This window comes from Homo sapiens, chromosome 2 (genome assembly GCF_000001405.40).
Source record: "Homo sapiens chromosome 2, GRCh38.p14 Primary Assembly".
NCBI classification, from domain to species: domain Eukaryota; kingdom Metazoa; phylum Chordata; class Mammalia; order Primates; family Hominidae; genus Homo; species Homo sapiens.
The window spans coordinates 71,049,480-71,067,425 of NC_000002.12; the positions used below are offsets into that span (position 1 = coordinate 71,049,480).

The 17,946-nt window shown below is 44.9% G+C and overlaps 1 pseudogene, besides 1 other annotated feature; it reads left to right on the top strand.

Moving 5' to 3' along the window:
- OR7E62P (olfactory receptor family 7 subfamily E member 62 pseudogene) lies at nucleotides 5,913-6,559 on the top strand (annotated as a pseudogene).
- Nucleotides 14,568-14,657: an enhancer, noted in NCBI's record as "active region_16011". NCBI's record gives its function as "activates an Ori minimal core promoter by ATAC-STARR-seq in GM12878 lymphoblastoid cells {active_cell/tissue: GM12878}" and the evidence as "EXISTENCE:reporter gene assay evidence [ECO:0000049][PMID:35858748]".

Consider the following 17,946-nt stretch of genomic DNA (forward strand, 5'->3'; position numbering starts at 1 on the left):
CAGTAGACTGGGAACTATACGTGGACAGGAGCAGCTTCATCAACCCACAAGGAGAGAGATGTGCAGGATATACAGTGATGCAGTAGTAGCCCTGGATACTGTTGTTGAAGCCAGATCATTGCCCCAGGCCACTTCAGCCCAGAAAACTGAACTCATTGCTTTAATTGGGGCCTTAGAACTCAGTGAAGGTGAGACTGTCAACATTGACACTGATTCTCGGTATGCCTTTTTAACCCTTCAAGTGCGTAGAGGATTATAGAAAGAAAAGGGCCTACTGAACTCTGGGGGGAAAGACATAAAATATCAACAAGAAATCTTGCAATTATTAGAAGCAGTATGGAAACCCCACAAGGTGGCACTTAGGCATCAGCAAGCTTCCACCTTGCTGGGTTTGGGGAATTCCCACGCTGACTCAGAGGCTCAAAAAGCAGCATCTGTCCCCTTCCAGGCATCAGTCACAGCCCCTCTGCTCCCTCAAACACCTGATCTTGTACCTACTTCTTCTAAAGAAGAAAAGGACTTTCTCCAGGTAAAGGGGAGGACAAGTGACAGAGGAAGGATGGATTCAGTTACCAGATGGGAGAGTAGCTGTGCCACAGCTCCTAGGAGGTGCAGTTGTACTGGCTGTGCATGAAACCATCCATCTAGGTCAGGAGTCACTGGAAAAGTTGTTAGGCCGGTATTTCTACATCTCGCATTTGTCAGCCCTCGCCAAAACCATGAGGCAGCGGTTTGTTACCTGCCGACACCATAATGCGAGGCAAGGTCCAGCTGTTCCGCCCGGCATACAAGCTTATGCAGCAGCCCCCATTGAAGATCTGCAGGTAGACTTCAGAGAGATGCCAAAGTGTGGAGGTAACAAGTATTTACTAGTTCTTGGGTGTACCTAGTCTGGGTGGGTGGAGGCTTATCCAACATGAACTGAGAAAGCTCGTGAAGTAACCCATCTGCTTCTTCGAGATCTTATTCCTAGGTTTGAACTGCCCTTATGGGTAGGCTCAGATAACGGGCCAGTGTTTGTGGCTGACTTGGTACAGAAGACGGCAAAGGTATTGGGGATCACACGGAAACTGCATGCCGCCTCCCAGCCTCAGAGTTCCGGAAAGGTGGAGCGGATGAATCGGACTATCAAAAATAGTGCTATACTATTGTCTTCCCCGCTGGATATTTAAAACAGCACCACAAGGGGCATCAAACCACCTGCTAAATTTGAGGGAATGTTATCCTCTCCCCACCTCCCCCGGCCCCGGATATTAGAGACAATAACACAGGGGTAATGTACACCCACTGCTTTATTGGGAGTAATATCATCCTCTCCCTTCTTGGATATTAGGAACAATATCACACTGTGCATGTACGCCTGTCGTGAAATTCAATGGAATGTCATCCTTTGCCTCCCTGGATATGATGAACAATATCACGGGGGATGTACAACTTGTGAGATATTGGGAGTGATATCATCCTCTCCCGTCTGGAAGTTAGGGACAGTATCACAGGGGTGGTGTACACCCTCTGGGATGTTGGGACTAATATCATCCTCCCGCCCACTGGATATGAAAAACCATATCACAAGGGGCTTGTACACACACTTCGATATTGGTATTAATACCATCCTCTCCCTCTTTGGATATTCGGTGCCATATTTCAGGTGGGGTATACACCACCTGCAATATTGGAAGTAATAAGATTTTCTCCCCCCCGGATATCAGAGACAATATCACAGGGGGTGTCAACAGCCCCTGCGATATTTGGAGTAATATCATCGTCTCCCCTCATGAATATTAAGAACAACATCGTAGGGGTGGGGGGTGTACACCCCCTTTCATATTTGATATCATCCTCTTCCCCCCTGGATATTAGGAACAATATCAGGAAGGGATGTGCAGACCCTGCAATATTTGCCGTCATATAATTGTCTCTCCCCTAGATATTAGGAAAAATGTAACTGGGGATGTGACCAGCCCTGCGATATTGGGAGTAGTATCATCCTCTCCCCGTTGCATATTAGGAACAGTATCACAGGTGGGGTGTAGTGTCTCTGCGATATTGGGAGTAAAATTATCCTCTCTTCCCCTGGATATTAGGAAGGGTATCAGAGGGGGAGGGTGTACATTCCCTTCGATATTCAATGTAATCTTATCCTCTCCCTCCCAGGGTATTAAGAACAATATTACAGGAGGGGTGTACACCCCCTGCGATATTGAGAGTCATATCATTCTCTTTCGCTCTGGATATTAGGAACAATATCACAGGGTTGTGTACACCCCCTGGGATATTGGGAGTCATATCATCCTCTCTCCCTGTGGATATTAGGAAGAGTATCACAGGGCTGTGTATACCCCTGCGGTATTGGGAGTCATATCATCCCCTCTCCCTCTGGATATAAGGAAGAGTTTCACAGGGGTGTGTGCACCCGCTGCGATATTGGGAGTAATATCATCCTCTCCACCCAGGAAATGACTAACAAGGTCACGGGGGGGAACTTGCCCCTGCCATATTGGGAGTAATGTCGTCCTCCCCAAACCTGGATGTTAGCAGCAAGATCACAGAGTGGGTGTACACACCCTTCGATATTGGAAGTAATATGATTCTCTCCCCACCTGGATATAGGGAAAAATATCACAGCGCGGGTATACATTTCCTATGCTGTTGGGAGTAATATCATTCTTTTCCTTTCTGGATATTAGGAACAATATCACAGGGGTGGTGTACATTTACTTTGATATTGGGAGTAATATCATCCTCTCCCCGTTAGGACATTAGGAACAATATCCCAGGGTGGTGTCCACCCTCTGCGATATTGAGAGTAATATCATCTTCTATTTCCCTGGTTATTAGACACAATATCACAAAAAGGTGTACAACCCCTGCGATATTGGGAGTAATATCATACTCTCCTTCCCTGGATATTAGAAAACAATATTCATCAGGGCTGAATACCCCCTGCGATAATGGGAGTAATATTTTCTCTTTCACAGGCCATTAGGAACAATATCACAGCGGGTGTTTACACACCCTGCGATATTGGAGGTAATATCATCCTCTGCCCCCTGGCATATTACCAACGATATCAAACAGGGGTGGTGTACACCCCTTGTGATATTGGGAGTATTATCATCCTCTCCACCTCCGGGTATTAGGAACAATATCCCGGCGGGGGGTAGTACAACCCCAGTGATATTGGGAATAATGTCATCCTCTCCTTCCCCGGATATTAGGAACAATATCACAGGAGGGTGTACACCTTCTGCGATATTGGAAGCAATATCATCCTCTTCCCCGCTGGATATTAGAAAAAATATCACTCATGGTGTACACCCACTGTGATATCAGGAAGAATATTACAGGGTGTACACCCACTCTGACTTTAGGAGAAATAGCTCCCTAAAATGTCACAAATAATATCACAGGGTATACAGTAATATCTCCCTAGGATATGACACATACTATCACAGGGTGTACACCCACTGTGATAACAGGAGTAATATGTCCCAAGGATATTACCAATAATATCACAAGGCCGTACACCCAGTATGACATAAGGAGTGATATCTCCCTAGGATACTACGAATACCGTCACAGGATGTACACCCATGGTGTGCACCCACGGTGATACTAGGAGTAATATCTACCCAGGAAATAACCAATAACAGCACAGGGTGTACATACATGATGTCCACCCATGGTGATGTTATGAGAACTATCTCCCTAGGATAATACGAATAATATCACAGAGTGTACACACATGGTATACACACACTGTAGCACTAGGAATAATAACTTTCTGAGATATGAATAGCATCACAGAATAAAAACACATGGTGTACGCCCACTGTAACATCAGGCGTAATTTCTCCCTAGGATATTACGAGTAGCATCTCAGGGTGTACAAACATGGTGTACACCCACTGTGACATGACGGGTAATATCCCCCTAGAGGATATTACCAATAACATCACAGGGTGTTCACCCGTGGTGTACATGCACTGTAATATTAGGAATAATATCTCCCTAGGATATTATAAATAATACCACAAAGTGTACAGAAACTGTGATATTAGAGGAAATATCTCTCTAGGATATTCTGAATAATATCACAGGGTGTACACCCACTGTGATATCGGGAGCAATAGCTCTCTAGGATGTTATGAATAATATCACTGTGATATTAGGAGAAATATCTCTCTGGGATATTACGAATTGTATCACAGAGTGTACACACATGGTGTACACCCACTTTGATATTAGGAGTAATATCTTCCTAGGACATTACAAATAGTATCACAGAGTGTACACCCACTGTAATATTAGGAGTCGTATCTCCCTAGGTGATTACAAATAATATCACAGGGTGTGCACCCACTGCGATATTAGGAGTAATATCTTCCTAGGGTATTACGAATAATTTCACAGTGTGTACACACGTGGTGTACACTCACTGTGATATTAGGAGTAATATCTACCTAGTATATAACAAATAACATCACAGGATGTACACCCACTTTGATATTAGCTGTAATATTTTTCTAAGTTGTTACAAATAATATCACAGGGTGTACAAACAGGGTGTACACTCACTGTGATATCAGGAGTCGTATCTCCATAATATATTATGAATAATATCACAGGGTGTACACCCACTGTATTATTAGGAGTAATATCTCTCTAGGATATTACAATTAATATCACAGGTGTACACCCACTGTGATATTAGGAGCAATATCTTTCTAGGATATTGCAAATATCCTAGAACAAAGTGGTTGTTCGCCCACTCTGCTGTCAGGAGCAATATCTCCCTAGGATATCAAAACTAGTATCACAGGGTGTACAATCCCTGCCTTCCAGGTTCTAAGGGATTCTCCTGCTTCAGCCTCCCGAGTAGCTAGAGTTACCCGCCACCACGCCCGGCTAATTGTTTTTTTTTGTTTTCACTAGAGACGGGGTTTCACCATGTTGGCCAGGCTGCTCTGGAACTCCTGACCTCAGGTGACCCATCAGCCTCGGCCTCCCAAAGTGCTGAGATTACAGGTGTGAGCCATGGCGCTCGGCCAAGAGTTATATATTCAATTAATTTGGAGACACAGCTCCCACATTTGACTGTGCATGTATTTTTATGAAGAAATGATGTCAGAAAACCTAAAGATGGCAATAAATATGAAAAGTAACTGGCATGCTAAAAGGTCTTCCGATTAAGAACTCTAAGGTTTGACTTAGTTTTTAGATAATGTGGTCCTAGCTCTTGTGTCATCCTTTTAAATATTCTACATCAGAGGAATTTGTAGCACGGTGTCAGAATAAAATAAAGGGTATTTCACTGCTTCTTAATTTCTTTCAATTAGACTGAGATCTTTTTCTTAAAGAGAGAAGAACGTTTTTATTGCATGTTATTGTTTCTGAAAAGAGTAGGCCGTATTTTACTGAGATCACGGATTTGTTATATATTATGTTTTGGTCTTCTAACATTCTTCAGTGGATTTTCTCTAAAGTAGTACGTACAGAAGGAGTTGAATAGAAAACAGTAAATCATCACGTAATAATTCTGGGATTTTTGGGTTTGTCACAACTGAGAAATATTGCTGACGGTGTATGGTCCTCAAGTGTGAAAATGTTCCTTGTGAATTGCTTGCATCCAAAATATACACACAGCATTAAGGGCTGGTTTTTATCTTTTATTTTTCCAATCCTCTTTTCTTCTCAAGGTGTCCAAGTCACACAGAGCCACGGAATCTCACAGGTGTCTCAGAATTCCTCCTCCTGGGACTCTCAGAGGATCCAGAACTGCAGCCTGTCCTCCCTGGGCTGTCCCTGTCCATGTATCTGCTCACGGTGCTGAGGAACCTGCTCATCATCCTGGCTGTCAGCTCTGACTCCCACCTCCACACCCCCATGTACTTCTTCCTCTCCAACCCGTCATGGGCTGACATCGCTTTCACCTCGGCCACAGTTCCCAAGATGATTGTGGACATGCAGTCGCATAGCAGTCATCTCTTATGCAAGCTGCCTGACACAGATGTCTTTCTTTGCCCTTTTTGCATGCATAGAAGATCATGCTCCTGATTGTGATGGCCTATGACCGATTTGTAGCCGTCTGTCACTCCCCACACTACCCAGTCATCATGAATCCTCGCCTCGGTGTCTTCTTCGTTTTGGTGTCCTTTTTCCTTAGCCTGTTGGATTCCCAGCTGCACAGTTGGACTGTGTTACAATTCACCTTCTTCAAGAATGTGGAAATCTCTAATTTTGTCTGTGACCCATCTCAACTTCTCAACCTTGCCTGTTCTGACAGCGTCATCGATAGCATATTCATATATTTAGATAGTACTATGTTTCGTTTTCTTCCGATTTCAGGGATCCTTTTGTCTTACTCTAACATTGTCCCCTCCATTCTAAGAATTTCATCATCAGATGGGAAGTCTAAAGCCTTCTCCACCTGTCGCTCTCACCTGGCAGTTGTTTGCTTATTTTATGGAACAGGCATTGGCGTGTACCTGACTTCAGCTGTGGCACCACCCCCAGGAGTGGTGTGGTGGTGTCAGTGATGTACACTGTGGTCACCCCCATGCTGAACCCTTTCATCTACTGCCTGAGAAACAGGGACATTCAAAGCGCCCTGTGGAGGCTGCGCAGCAGAACAGTCGAATCTCATGATCTGTTCCATCCTTTTTCTTGTGTGGGTAAGAAAGGGCAAGCACATTAAATCCCTACATCTGCAAATCCTGCCCCTTAGTCACATTATTTTTGTGGCTTGATGGCTTTTATTTCTTTCCACATTTCCTATGTGAATATTGCTTTCATCGTTATGCCTTTAACTGGAATGGGTGAGGATTCTGGGATCCTTTGTTTAGCAGAAACCTCATAACTGAATCCTCTATACCTAGGTGGCCTCCTTTAGTTTCTGACCAGTAACCCTGTCATCCAGGTGGAATCATAACCATCTTTTTATATACGTGAAGTCCTCACTTCATTTTGGAATTCCCTGAACATTGACTTTATGGAAACAATGTACAGCAGGTCCTCCAACACTGTTGTTGTGTTCAAAGTTGTTATGATGTTGATGAGGAATAAGTGGTTTCAGTATACATAATTTTGCTTAAAAGTGAAGTTTCCAAGAGACTTTCAAAGACGATAAGTGAGGACATACTGTACATCAAATTCATATCCTCTTCCAGAGTTCATGTGGAATTTCTCTATAAACTGCTTCTAGAGAATCTATTTAGGCAGGTTATGTGTAGAGATCCATGTCACCGGTCCTCAAGCTTGTCTTTGAATCAAATCACCTGGGGAGCTTACAAATGATGAGGCCTGCGTCTCATTACATGAAAGTCTGATTTACTTGCACCTGTGTAGGTAAGTGGATTTTTTTTTTTTTTTTTTTTTTAAAGCACCAGAGGTGATTCCAATGATGAAGTTTTTAGAGGCATCAAGCTCCAATAAGTAAGAAAAGAAGTTAATTGTAATAATGATTTCTTCAAATATTATCTTCAAATGTGTTGTCCTTCAACACCACACAAATTTTTATTATGCTGTTTTTTCTTACCATTTAGCATTTTCTTTTTTCTTTTCTTTTTTTTTTGGGGGGGGGCAGAGTTTCACTCTTATTGCCCAGGCTGGAGTGCAATGGCACGATCTCAGCTCACTGCAAACTCTGCCTCCCGTATTCAAGTGATTCTCCTGTCTCAGCCTTCTGAGTAGCTATTACAGGTATGTGCTACCACGCCCGGCTAATTTTTTTTTTTTTTTTTTTTTTTTTTTTTTTTTTGTATTTTTAGTAGAGACAGTGTTTGTCCATATTGGTCAGGCTGGTCTTGAACTCCCGATCTCAGGTGATCCGCCTGCTTTGGCCTCCCAAAGTGCTGGGATTACAGGCGTGAGCGACCGCACCCAGCCACCACTTAGCATTTTCATTTTACATTTGTTGAAGTTATGAATTTATTTACCCATTGATTTCTGCTTTATGATACACTTGCATATACATAAAATGGGAAATAGAAAAGAATAAAATGGGCACAGTATCCCTAAACTTTCACATTCCGAGACATTTGAAAAATATTTGCTTTTTCGAAATTTGTTTCAATTAAAATACTGTGGTATACACACACAATGAAGTATTATTCAGCCTCAAAAGGAATAAAATCCTCTCCACTGCAGAGAAAATGGATGAGATTGCAGGTATGTATATTAAGTGAAATAATCTAGGCACAGAATGACAAATATTACATGTCCTTACTTATGTGTAGGAAGAAAAAAGAAAATCTTGGCCAGGTGTGGTGGCTCAGGCCTGTAATCCCAGCACTTTGGGAGGCCGACTCACACAGATCACTTCAGGCCAGGAGTTCGAGACCCGCCTGGCCAACATGGTGAAACCCCGTCTCTACTAAAAACACAAAAAATTAGCCAGGCGTGGTGATGCGTGCCTGTAGTCTCAGCCACTCGGAAGGCTGAGGCCCAAGAAGCGCTTGAACTCAGGAGGCGGAGGTTGCAGTCAGCCGGGATTGTGCCTGTATGCTCCAACCTGGGCAACAGAAAGAGACTGCCATCAGAAGAACACCCCTCCAGGTCAATCCTTGCTCTCCCTCGGGGCTTCTCTTAAAGTGCACAGCCTTAACTGGGGCAGGGTCCTGAAGGGTGGGGAGAGGAAGGCCGGCTCCCTGGAATACACAATCGATCCTTGCAGGTATCCACTGTCAGGTCTCTGAGCTTGATGCTGTCATGTCCCTTGACACCGCTTCCGGGGCTTTTCGGTGGATGGCTTTTGGGGTGGAAGTGGCAGCCCCAGCTTACCAGCCATCATGCTCATGTCCGGGATCTCAGTCCTCTGGGGAAGGTGAGGTGGCTTTTCCTCAGCCAAGGCTGGGATCCTCAGTGGGTGCTGGTTCATCTGACTTTCCTCCCAATGGGGTTTGAAGGTGGAGAGGGGGACAGTGCCTGGGCCACAAGAGAGCACAAGACCTGGCTTCCTGTGGAAGGTGCCCACTCCACTCCCACTTTTCATGCCTCCAGAGCCCAACTTGTACCACTTCACAGTTTTACCAGGGCCCAAATCTCCTCCTAGTTTGGGACTAGAACACCTCTCACTCTCCAAGCCATCCTCCAATCCTGCCTTTTCCACTGCTTCTCTTACCTGCTCTTGCACACTATGACTACATCCTTGCCCCACCTGCCCCAGTCAGGGGACTGCAGAACTGAGGGCAGATCTTGGGTAAGGCCTGCCTCTCCTGCCTTTCTTCTCCCAATGCTCCAACTGGGGGTTCATGACTGCAAAAAAACCCGTTGTGTCAACAACTCCAATGGCCTCCCTTGATATAGTCCATCATGTAGACAGATGCAGGATGCTGGGGAGGGCCCATGAGAGACCCTGGGTGACAACTCCTGGCCCTGGTCTGGCCCCAGCCTGGGTCTGGAGAACTGAAAGCCACCTGGCTTGTTTTCCACAGGGGCCAGAAAAGGCTGGAGCAGCCGAAGTCTTTCGGAAACAGTATCTGCGGTATATTCAGGGCTGACTCAGGAAAGAAGGTAAGGGAAAGAAAGAGTGGAGGGCTGCCAGCCCCACTCTCCTACGCTGCCAGGCCTCAGCTTGGTGCATCTTCTTGAGGCCTTCAGAAGTGATGAGCGGCTCCAGGGCATGGACCCTGCTGCTGCTGCTTGTCCCAACCTGAGGGAAACAAAGCCCAGGCCTAGGGCTTTAGTATGAGGCATGTGGGGAGTAGAAATTTTGTGGCCTTTGAATAGGATCCAGTATTAATCCAGTAATAATCCAGCCAGTGGATTATTAAAGAAAAAAAATCGAACAAGAATAGAAATTACACTTCTAGTTGATTTATCCTTAAAACCTGGCTGTGGGATTATTGAGCTGATACAGGGACTCCATGGCCATAAAGTAGGTGGCAGCCTGTAGATCTATGTTCACTTCCAGAGTTTTCCAAACTGGATGGAAGAGAAAATTTGTGGTGTGTGTAGCAGGGAACACGTATTAGGGACTCAATACCACTTGAGAGACCAGACTACATCTGTGCAAATAACCTTGTTTATCTAGCCATTAAACAGGAAAAAACAAGTTTCTCTCCTTTGGGGCTTTCTGAGCCTCAATCTACTGATGGGCAGTACATTGTGTCTCTCCAGGGTAAGGGTGGGACAGGTGGATTTGGGAAGTCTCAGTGTTCCCAAGGACCATAAGAATCCTGTCTTCTGGAGATACCCATTAATATCTCTTGAGGAAATACTGGGAAACACTGCCAAACTGATCTATGGATCAGTTTAATCCATTTTATTAATAGCTCATTTTATTATTTGCAGTAACATATAAATCCTGCCCTAAGTTATTGGAAGACAATTTTATAAAACTGAAAACAAAACATTTTCCCTCCTAAAAACACTCAAGTCATATTACCGATAGCATAGATCACTGGGGTCGCGCCCTCAGCCTTGCTCTGGGCCCCCTCTCTGGAAGAGATTCCTTCACAGAGTGACCAACTCCTCCCATTTTAAAAATGGAAAAGTCCTATGTCCCAAGAGCCCTCCTCAGTTCTGCGCAGACTATTGGGCTCACTCTCCTCTAGCAGGTACTGGAAGAGCCAGGACTGGCTGCAGTCAGCCCCAGGAACTCTCTGAGACCTACAGGTCATGATGCAAGGGGACTGGTATCACTGATTAAGCTACTGGCCGGCCCGTCCTCTTTCTTCTGTCCAGTCTCTTGCCTGCAGGTCACTGTCCAGCTCTCCTGGGCAGGTGAGGGGAAGGAAAGCTGCCTGGCCCTGCCCACCACCCACAAGCACCCAAGCATGACACTCTGAGTTCCAGCTCTGACCCCGTCTCCTGCACAAACCCCTCCTCCGCCCCACCCTTGCTTCACTCCAAGTGCCCTTCCTGCTCCTTCTCACTATGCATTCATTTCTCACCAGTCTTAAGACTACTGCCTCCAGGAAGCCTTCCTGACTGCTCCAGTCCATTCTAACCCCTTTTCTAGCCTCCCAATGCTCCCAGCTGGTTGACTCTCCCAGCCCCCCTTTCTAACTTTCTAGCTTCAGAGAGTGTCAGAGAGGGAGTCATGCCTGTAAACCCAGGATTTTGGGAGGCCAAGGCAGGAAGATTGCTTGAGGCAAGAGTTCAAGACCAGCCTGGGCAACATAGGGAAACTTTGTATCTATAAAAAATTAGCCAGATGTGGTGGTGTGCACCTGGAGTCCTAGCTACTGGGGAGGCTGAGGTGGGAGGATCACTTGAGTCCAGGAGTTCGAGTCTGCAGTGAGCCATGATCACATGACTGCACTTTAGCCTGGGCAACAGGGGAGGAGGCATCCTTAGAAGCATCCTGAGAGAATCAAGTTAGATGGGAGCAGGCTTTCGCTCATGTACACATGTAGCTGTGATGGATGGAACTGCTAAGTTGGAAAGGGGTTGAGAACCCTCAGGATTCTGGGAGGAGGCACTCTGGCTGGAAGTACAGTCTTCTGGGAACCTGGTAGGGAGTGACAAAGCCAGTGGAGACAGTTGCCTGGAGAAAGTCTCACAGCCTCTGCTTTCTTCCTTCCCCCAACAATCCTTTCCTCCACCCACCAGGGACTGTCCCTTGTCTCAGCAGGAGCTCTCCCAGAAGCTCTCACTCAGCACCAAGCTTGGGCTGCTTCCCAGATGCCCAAAGGCAGATGGGGAAGGCGGGTTCCAGCCAGGCTCAGCTCCAGGAGCTGAAAAGAACGCTCCAGAAGTGGCTCTGTCTTGCATTCTTCCTTAGGCTCAAGGATTCGCAGATAAGGAGCCATGACTTTATAACCTTTAGAGTATATAGAGATTTGTATGTGTGACTATGTCACTAAAAAAGGCACTACATCCATTCCATGGAATTCTAATCAGCAATGAAAAGGAATGACTGCTGAGACAGGCAACAAAACTTGGGTAAATCTCCAGAGAACTAAGATGGGTAAAAAAAAAAAGGTTACATACTCTATGATTCCATTTATAATTTTTAAATTCATTTTTATTTTAAAATTATACAGGGAGATGGGGAGGTCGCTATGTTGCCTAGGCTGAACTTGAACTCCTGGCCTCAAGTGATCATCCCACCTCCCAAAGTGCTGGATTGCAGGCATGAGCCACTGTGCCCGGCCCAATTCTATTTATATAACATTCCTGAAATGACTAAAGTTTGGATATGGGGAGCAAATTAGTTGCTGCCAGGGTTCAGGGCAGAAAGGGAGTGTGAGTATAAAAGGAGGAGAACTGGAGGAATACTGCTGGAGATGGATTCCAGCTCGGTATCTCAACTGCGGTGGTGGATACATGAACCTACATGTGTGATAAAACTAGAATTAAACACACACATATTTATAAAAATGGGTACGACAGGCTGGGAGTGATGACTCACACCTGTGATCCCAGCACTTTGGGAGGCCGAGGCGGGCAGATCACCTGAGGTCAGGAGTTCGAGACCAACCTGGCCAACATGGTGAAACCCCATCTCTGCTAAAACTACAAAAATTAGCCAGGCGTGGTAGCACGTGCCTGTAATCCCTACTCAGGGGGGCTGAGGCAGGAGAATCTCTTGAACCCAGCAGATGGAGGTTGCAATGAGCCGAGATGGCCCCACTGCACTCCAACCTGGGCGACAAGAGCGAAACTCCATCTCAACAAACAAAAACAAAAAATGGGTACGATAAAAAATGGAGAAATCTGAAAGATTGATGGACTGTATCTGTTAATATCTGAGTAGTGATATTGTAGTTGTGAAAGATGTTACCACTGGGGGAAACTGAGATCTCTTTGTAGTATTTCTTTCAATTGTATGTGAATCTAAAATTATCTCAAAAAATTATAATTTTTTTTTTCAAAAAATAAATACAACCAAGTGCAGTGGCTCACCCCTGTAATCCTAGCACTTTGGGAGGCTGAGGCAGGAGGATCACTTGAGGCTAGAAGTTCAAGATCAATCTGGGTAACAATGCGAGACCTCATCTCTACAAAAAAATTTTAAAAATTAGCCTGCCGTGCTGGTGGATGCTTCTAGTCCTAACTCTTTTGGAGCTGAGGCAAGAGTATCACTTGAGCCCAGGAGCTGGAGGCTACAGTGAGCTATGATTACACCACCGCACTCCAGCCTGGGAGACAGAATGAGACCCTATCTCTTAAAAAAATACAATTTTATAAAAGGGGGAACTATGGGTTCCACACATTTGCTAATGGGCAAGGCAGCCTGGAAGAGATCACCCTCCCTCTATCCCTTGCCCACCATTTCCTTGCAGCAACTTTACAGAACCTCTTCCAGAGGAGGTCTGTTCTGGAAAAATCCACCCCACTGCTGTAGTTCTTTGCCTCTTTCTTCTGGGACACACAATGTTGGTAGCTCAGTACCAGAGCTCCATCTAGAAGCCAGATAACTAAATCCTGATAAAGGAACCAGACAGGCTCGGAGGGGAGGTCTGTGAAACTTATTCCACTGGTTTTACATGGCACAGAATTCTTATTGGTTCAACCTCACAGCCCTCTCTCCATGTACACTTATTTTTGGGTTTCCTGCTATACCGTAGCATAGGAGACATCACAGTTGGTGCAGGGCCCAATGATGGAATGGGGGATTCTGATTATTCAAGCACCAATGTCCTAATCCATCATTACCAAAAGCATGTACTAGTGCACATAATTCACAGGGTGTTGTGGCAATCTGGTCCCTAACCTCTGAGCATTTCTGCTGCTATAAAATGGACATACACTTTATCTTACAGAGTGTTATATAGTTAGGCATTATGAAAGACATATAAACATCCCTGACACCTGACAAGGAGACACATTCCCAAAATGGCAGTACAGACTGGGCAATTGGAGGGCTCATGGTGCCTTGGGAATCTTAGGAGATGTCAGGAGACCAAATGCCCCAGTGGGAAAACTGTGCATCTCAGCAGAGGCTGGTGGATGCCTCTCCTCAGTGCTGCTGCAGTGGTTTAACCCTGGCTGTCACATGTCACCCTAGTGAGCCAAGAGGAGGAGGACAAGTGTTGGACCTAAGTTGAAACCCGAAATGACTGAGTTCATCTGTAAGTGATTAACTAGATTAAGTTTTTCTGCTTTTAGGGAAGAGTGGAGGATTGAGTCAGAAATCAAGTTTAGTTGTAGAAAAAGTTATCTTTTTGTACCCCTGAGTTTGCAGTCTGTAAAACATTGGAGCCACTACACAGATACACACTTTCGTATACAGTGTGTGCTTATACACTGATATACACAGACCATGGGCATTCTCACAGGCATATACCCAGTGGTGTGCTGGTAAGTGTTAACAGCCAGCTTTCTGGAAAACAACAATAACAACAACCTAAGTTGTAGCAGTTACTGATTTCTGTGGTGTAAATACTCCCACCACGGTGATTTCAAGCTACCAACATAATTACACCTCATGGAAGATGGAAGAGTTGTACATAAAACTGGGTCTTTGTGAGCTGTGTGAGCTGGCTCCAGCATAAGTTATAGGTGCACATTTATGCATCTGCCTAAAGTTGCCTAAATATGCAGGCTTGCTTAGGTTTCTTCAAGAACTGAAACGTTAACATGAAATCTGTAGACACATTAGTATAGAAAAATACGTGAGGACATCATCTCAACTATATGCATCTGTAGACACCTTCAGTCACTTAGAAACATACACAAAGAGAAGTTCGAATATATAAAAAAATACACACCTACGCAGATTGATGCAGGCCAGGACACGCATATAAGCTCACACATAGACACCCACATGCTCAGAAAAGAAGAGGGAGTAAACCAACCGGATTTGCTCAGGTTGCTGCCCTGGCCTGAGGCCCCACATCCCTCAGAACAACTTAAGATCAAGGCAGATAAGGTCCCTCTTTTCTTTCAGTTCCCTTACATGGCTGAAGAGACTTGAAGGACAGAACGTTTACAGCAGTTGTCTACGGCTGCCTCTGTGTTCTGAAGACCCCATGCACCCCTCGTCCCTTCTGGGTTGGGCCTGGCAGTCCCGTAGGCTGTCTTTCCCTTGCTTTGCAGATGCCAGCCCCAGAGTCCCACCTCCACCGTTGGTAAGGAAGCCCCTCACCCCTGCCTCTTTCAATTGTGGGAAAGTGAACTCCAGCCTCTCTCTCCTTCCTCATCCCAGATCAACAGCAGATGTTAGTATGACCCCCCTCCTGGCTCCCTCCGTGACTCCAGCTCTGCCCCCCACCTCCACCTCCACCTCCACCACTTGCTTGTTCATCTCTCACCTGGGCCAATGTCCAGCCTTCTAAGTGTTTCCCTTCTCCAAACTCTCCCTTCCCATTTGTCACCCTATAAGTAACCTGCCAGATTATTTTAAAGCACAGTGCTGAGGTCACACATGTACTGGCAACTTCTAATGCAAGACCGACTAGGGCTAGATCTCTTTGAGGCTCCCTGACCACACGTCCAACAACTCCTCCCTCAGTTCACAATTTCACTTCTCCTTATTTTCTCTTTCTCTTCCTGATCTGTTCTGTAAATTTAGTTTCTGCTGTGGAATTTGCTTGCTCCCTTCTTTAGTTCAAATCAGGCATTTGCTACCCCTCATGTCTGTGACACCGTGTTTATAGTTTATAAACCACTCTCAAAGCTATTTGTGGAGTACTGAGGTTAGCCCTGGACATGCTGTGGTGAGTAAAAACAGATGTGGCTGTGTTTCATGAATAAAGTCAACAAAATCTGTTGAGGACCCTGACCAAAAGTCATCTGTCCCAAAATCCTAAGTGGATTTGTGAGGAAAGATATTTTCCCATTGTCTCTCTTAACACTCTTCCCCCTGACTCCCAAACTATGGCCTCCCTGGGGTCATAGGAACAAAGTACAGAAGACAGAGAAGAAGACTGTGGCTTGCAGATTCTTAAAGAACTTTATTAACCTTGTGAGTGTCATAGAAGCAGCTACTGGGATGTTGCAAGCCCAGTGCAAACTGGTATATCTTGCTATATTGCAACATCTTGAATTTCCTTCCCTTTATATTAACTACCCACACATAATAAGCCACATCTATTATTTGTGTGAGCCTATGCTTTTTACTTTTATTTTAGAGCCTCTCGTTTCCTCATTTGTAATATGTGATCAGAAATCTGTCATTCTCGGCCTGCCGCGGTGGCTCACTGCTATAATCCCAGCATTTTGGGAGGCCAAGGCAGGCAGATCACTTGAGGTCAGGAGTTCAAGACCAGTGTGGCTAACATGGTAAAACCCTGTCTCTACTAAAAATACAAAAATTAGCTGGGCGTGGTGGCACATGCCTGTAGTCCCAGTTACTTGGGAGGCTGAGGCAGGAGAATCACTTGAACCAAGGAGGCATAGGTTGCAGTGAGCCGAGATCCCACCACTGCACTCCAGCCTGGGCCACAGAGTGAAACTCTGTCTCAAAAAAAAAAAATCTGTCATTCTCATAAGGTTGTTAGGATGATCAAACAAGATAAAGGTACATAAAAGAGCTCTATAGAATTATAATGTACAAGGCCGGGCACAGTGGCTCATGCCTGTAATCCCAGCACTTTGGGAGGCCGAGGTACGCGGATCAAAAGGTCAGGAGATCGAGATCATCCTGGCTAACACGGTGAAACCCCGTATCTACTAAAAATACAAAAAATTAGCCAGGCGTAGCAGCGTGCACCTGTAGTCCCAGCTGCTGGGGAGGCTGAGGCAAGAGAATGGCGTGAACCCGGGAAGCGGAGCTTGCAGTGAGCTGAGATCACGCCACACTGTACTCCAGCCTGGGCGACAGAGCAAGACTCTGTCTCAAAACAAACAAACAAACAAACAAACAAAAAGAATTATAATGTACAACATAAACGTATTTTATTTATTCTTTTTTTTTTTTTTTTTTTGAGACGGAGTTTCACTCTTGTCACCCAAGCTGGAGTGCAATGGCACAATCTTGGCTCACCACAACCTCCACCTCCTGGGTTCAAGTGATTCTCCTGCCTCAGCCTCCCAAGTAGCTGGGATTACAGGCGCCTGTCACCACGCCCAACTAACTTTTGTATTTTTAGTAGAGACAGGGTCTCGCCCTGTTGGCCAGGCTGGTCTTGAACTCCTGATCTTGGGTGATCCACCCCCTCGGCCTCCCAAAGTGCTGGGATTACAGGAATGAGCCACCACGCCCGGCTACTTTCTTCTTTAAATCAATTATATGGCCATTATTTATTTCATAAATAGGCATTCAGTGACTTTGAAATATTATGGTCCAGATAGAGACAACAGGGTTGTACAACAGAAATATGTAGGTCAAAATTTTAAATATTCTAGTAGTGACACTAAAAAATATAATAGATTGGCAAAATTTAGTAATCTATAATCTTGATCTACTACATCCAGAATGTTATTTCAACATGTGATTCATATAATAGTGACTAATGAGGTATCTTACACTCTTTTTTTGTAGTAAGTCTTTGAAATCCTGTGTGTATTCTACATTGACGGGACATCTCATTTTGGACTAACCACATTTCAAGTGCTCAGTATTCACATATGGATACTGTGCAGGACAGCACACACTAATTGGTAATGTAAATACAAGTTAGTTAAGATCTGTGAAGTACTTTATGGTTTCCAAAACTCTTTTGGCATTTAAATCTTGCGTCAGCCCCAGCAGGTAGATGTTTATCATTTCCATTTTGTAGAGGAGAGGCTGCAGCAATTACCTGTAAGTCACCCAAGCTCATCCAGCTAGTAAATGGTGAACTCAATTCTTGTCTTAAACCTGGGCACTTTCCCTTTTGCTTGCTTGCCTAAACAAGCAATACAAAGACAAACTTAATATTTATACACATACGTCCCATGGCTCATTGCAGTAGTACAGGACAGAAACAATTATTTCAAAATCCACCTACAATCTAGTCTCCAAAAATCCTGCCCAGTTTAATTGCACCACAATCTACTAACTGTAATTCTAAAAATGTGTATGTTGGATAATCTTCCAGCTCTAAAGTGCTGTGAATTAAAAAAATGCCATAG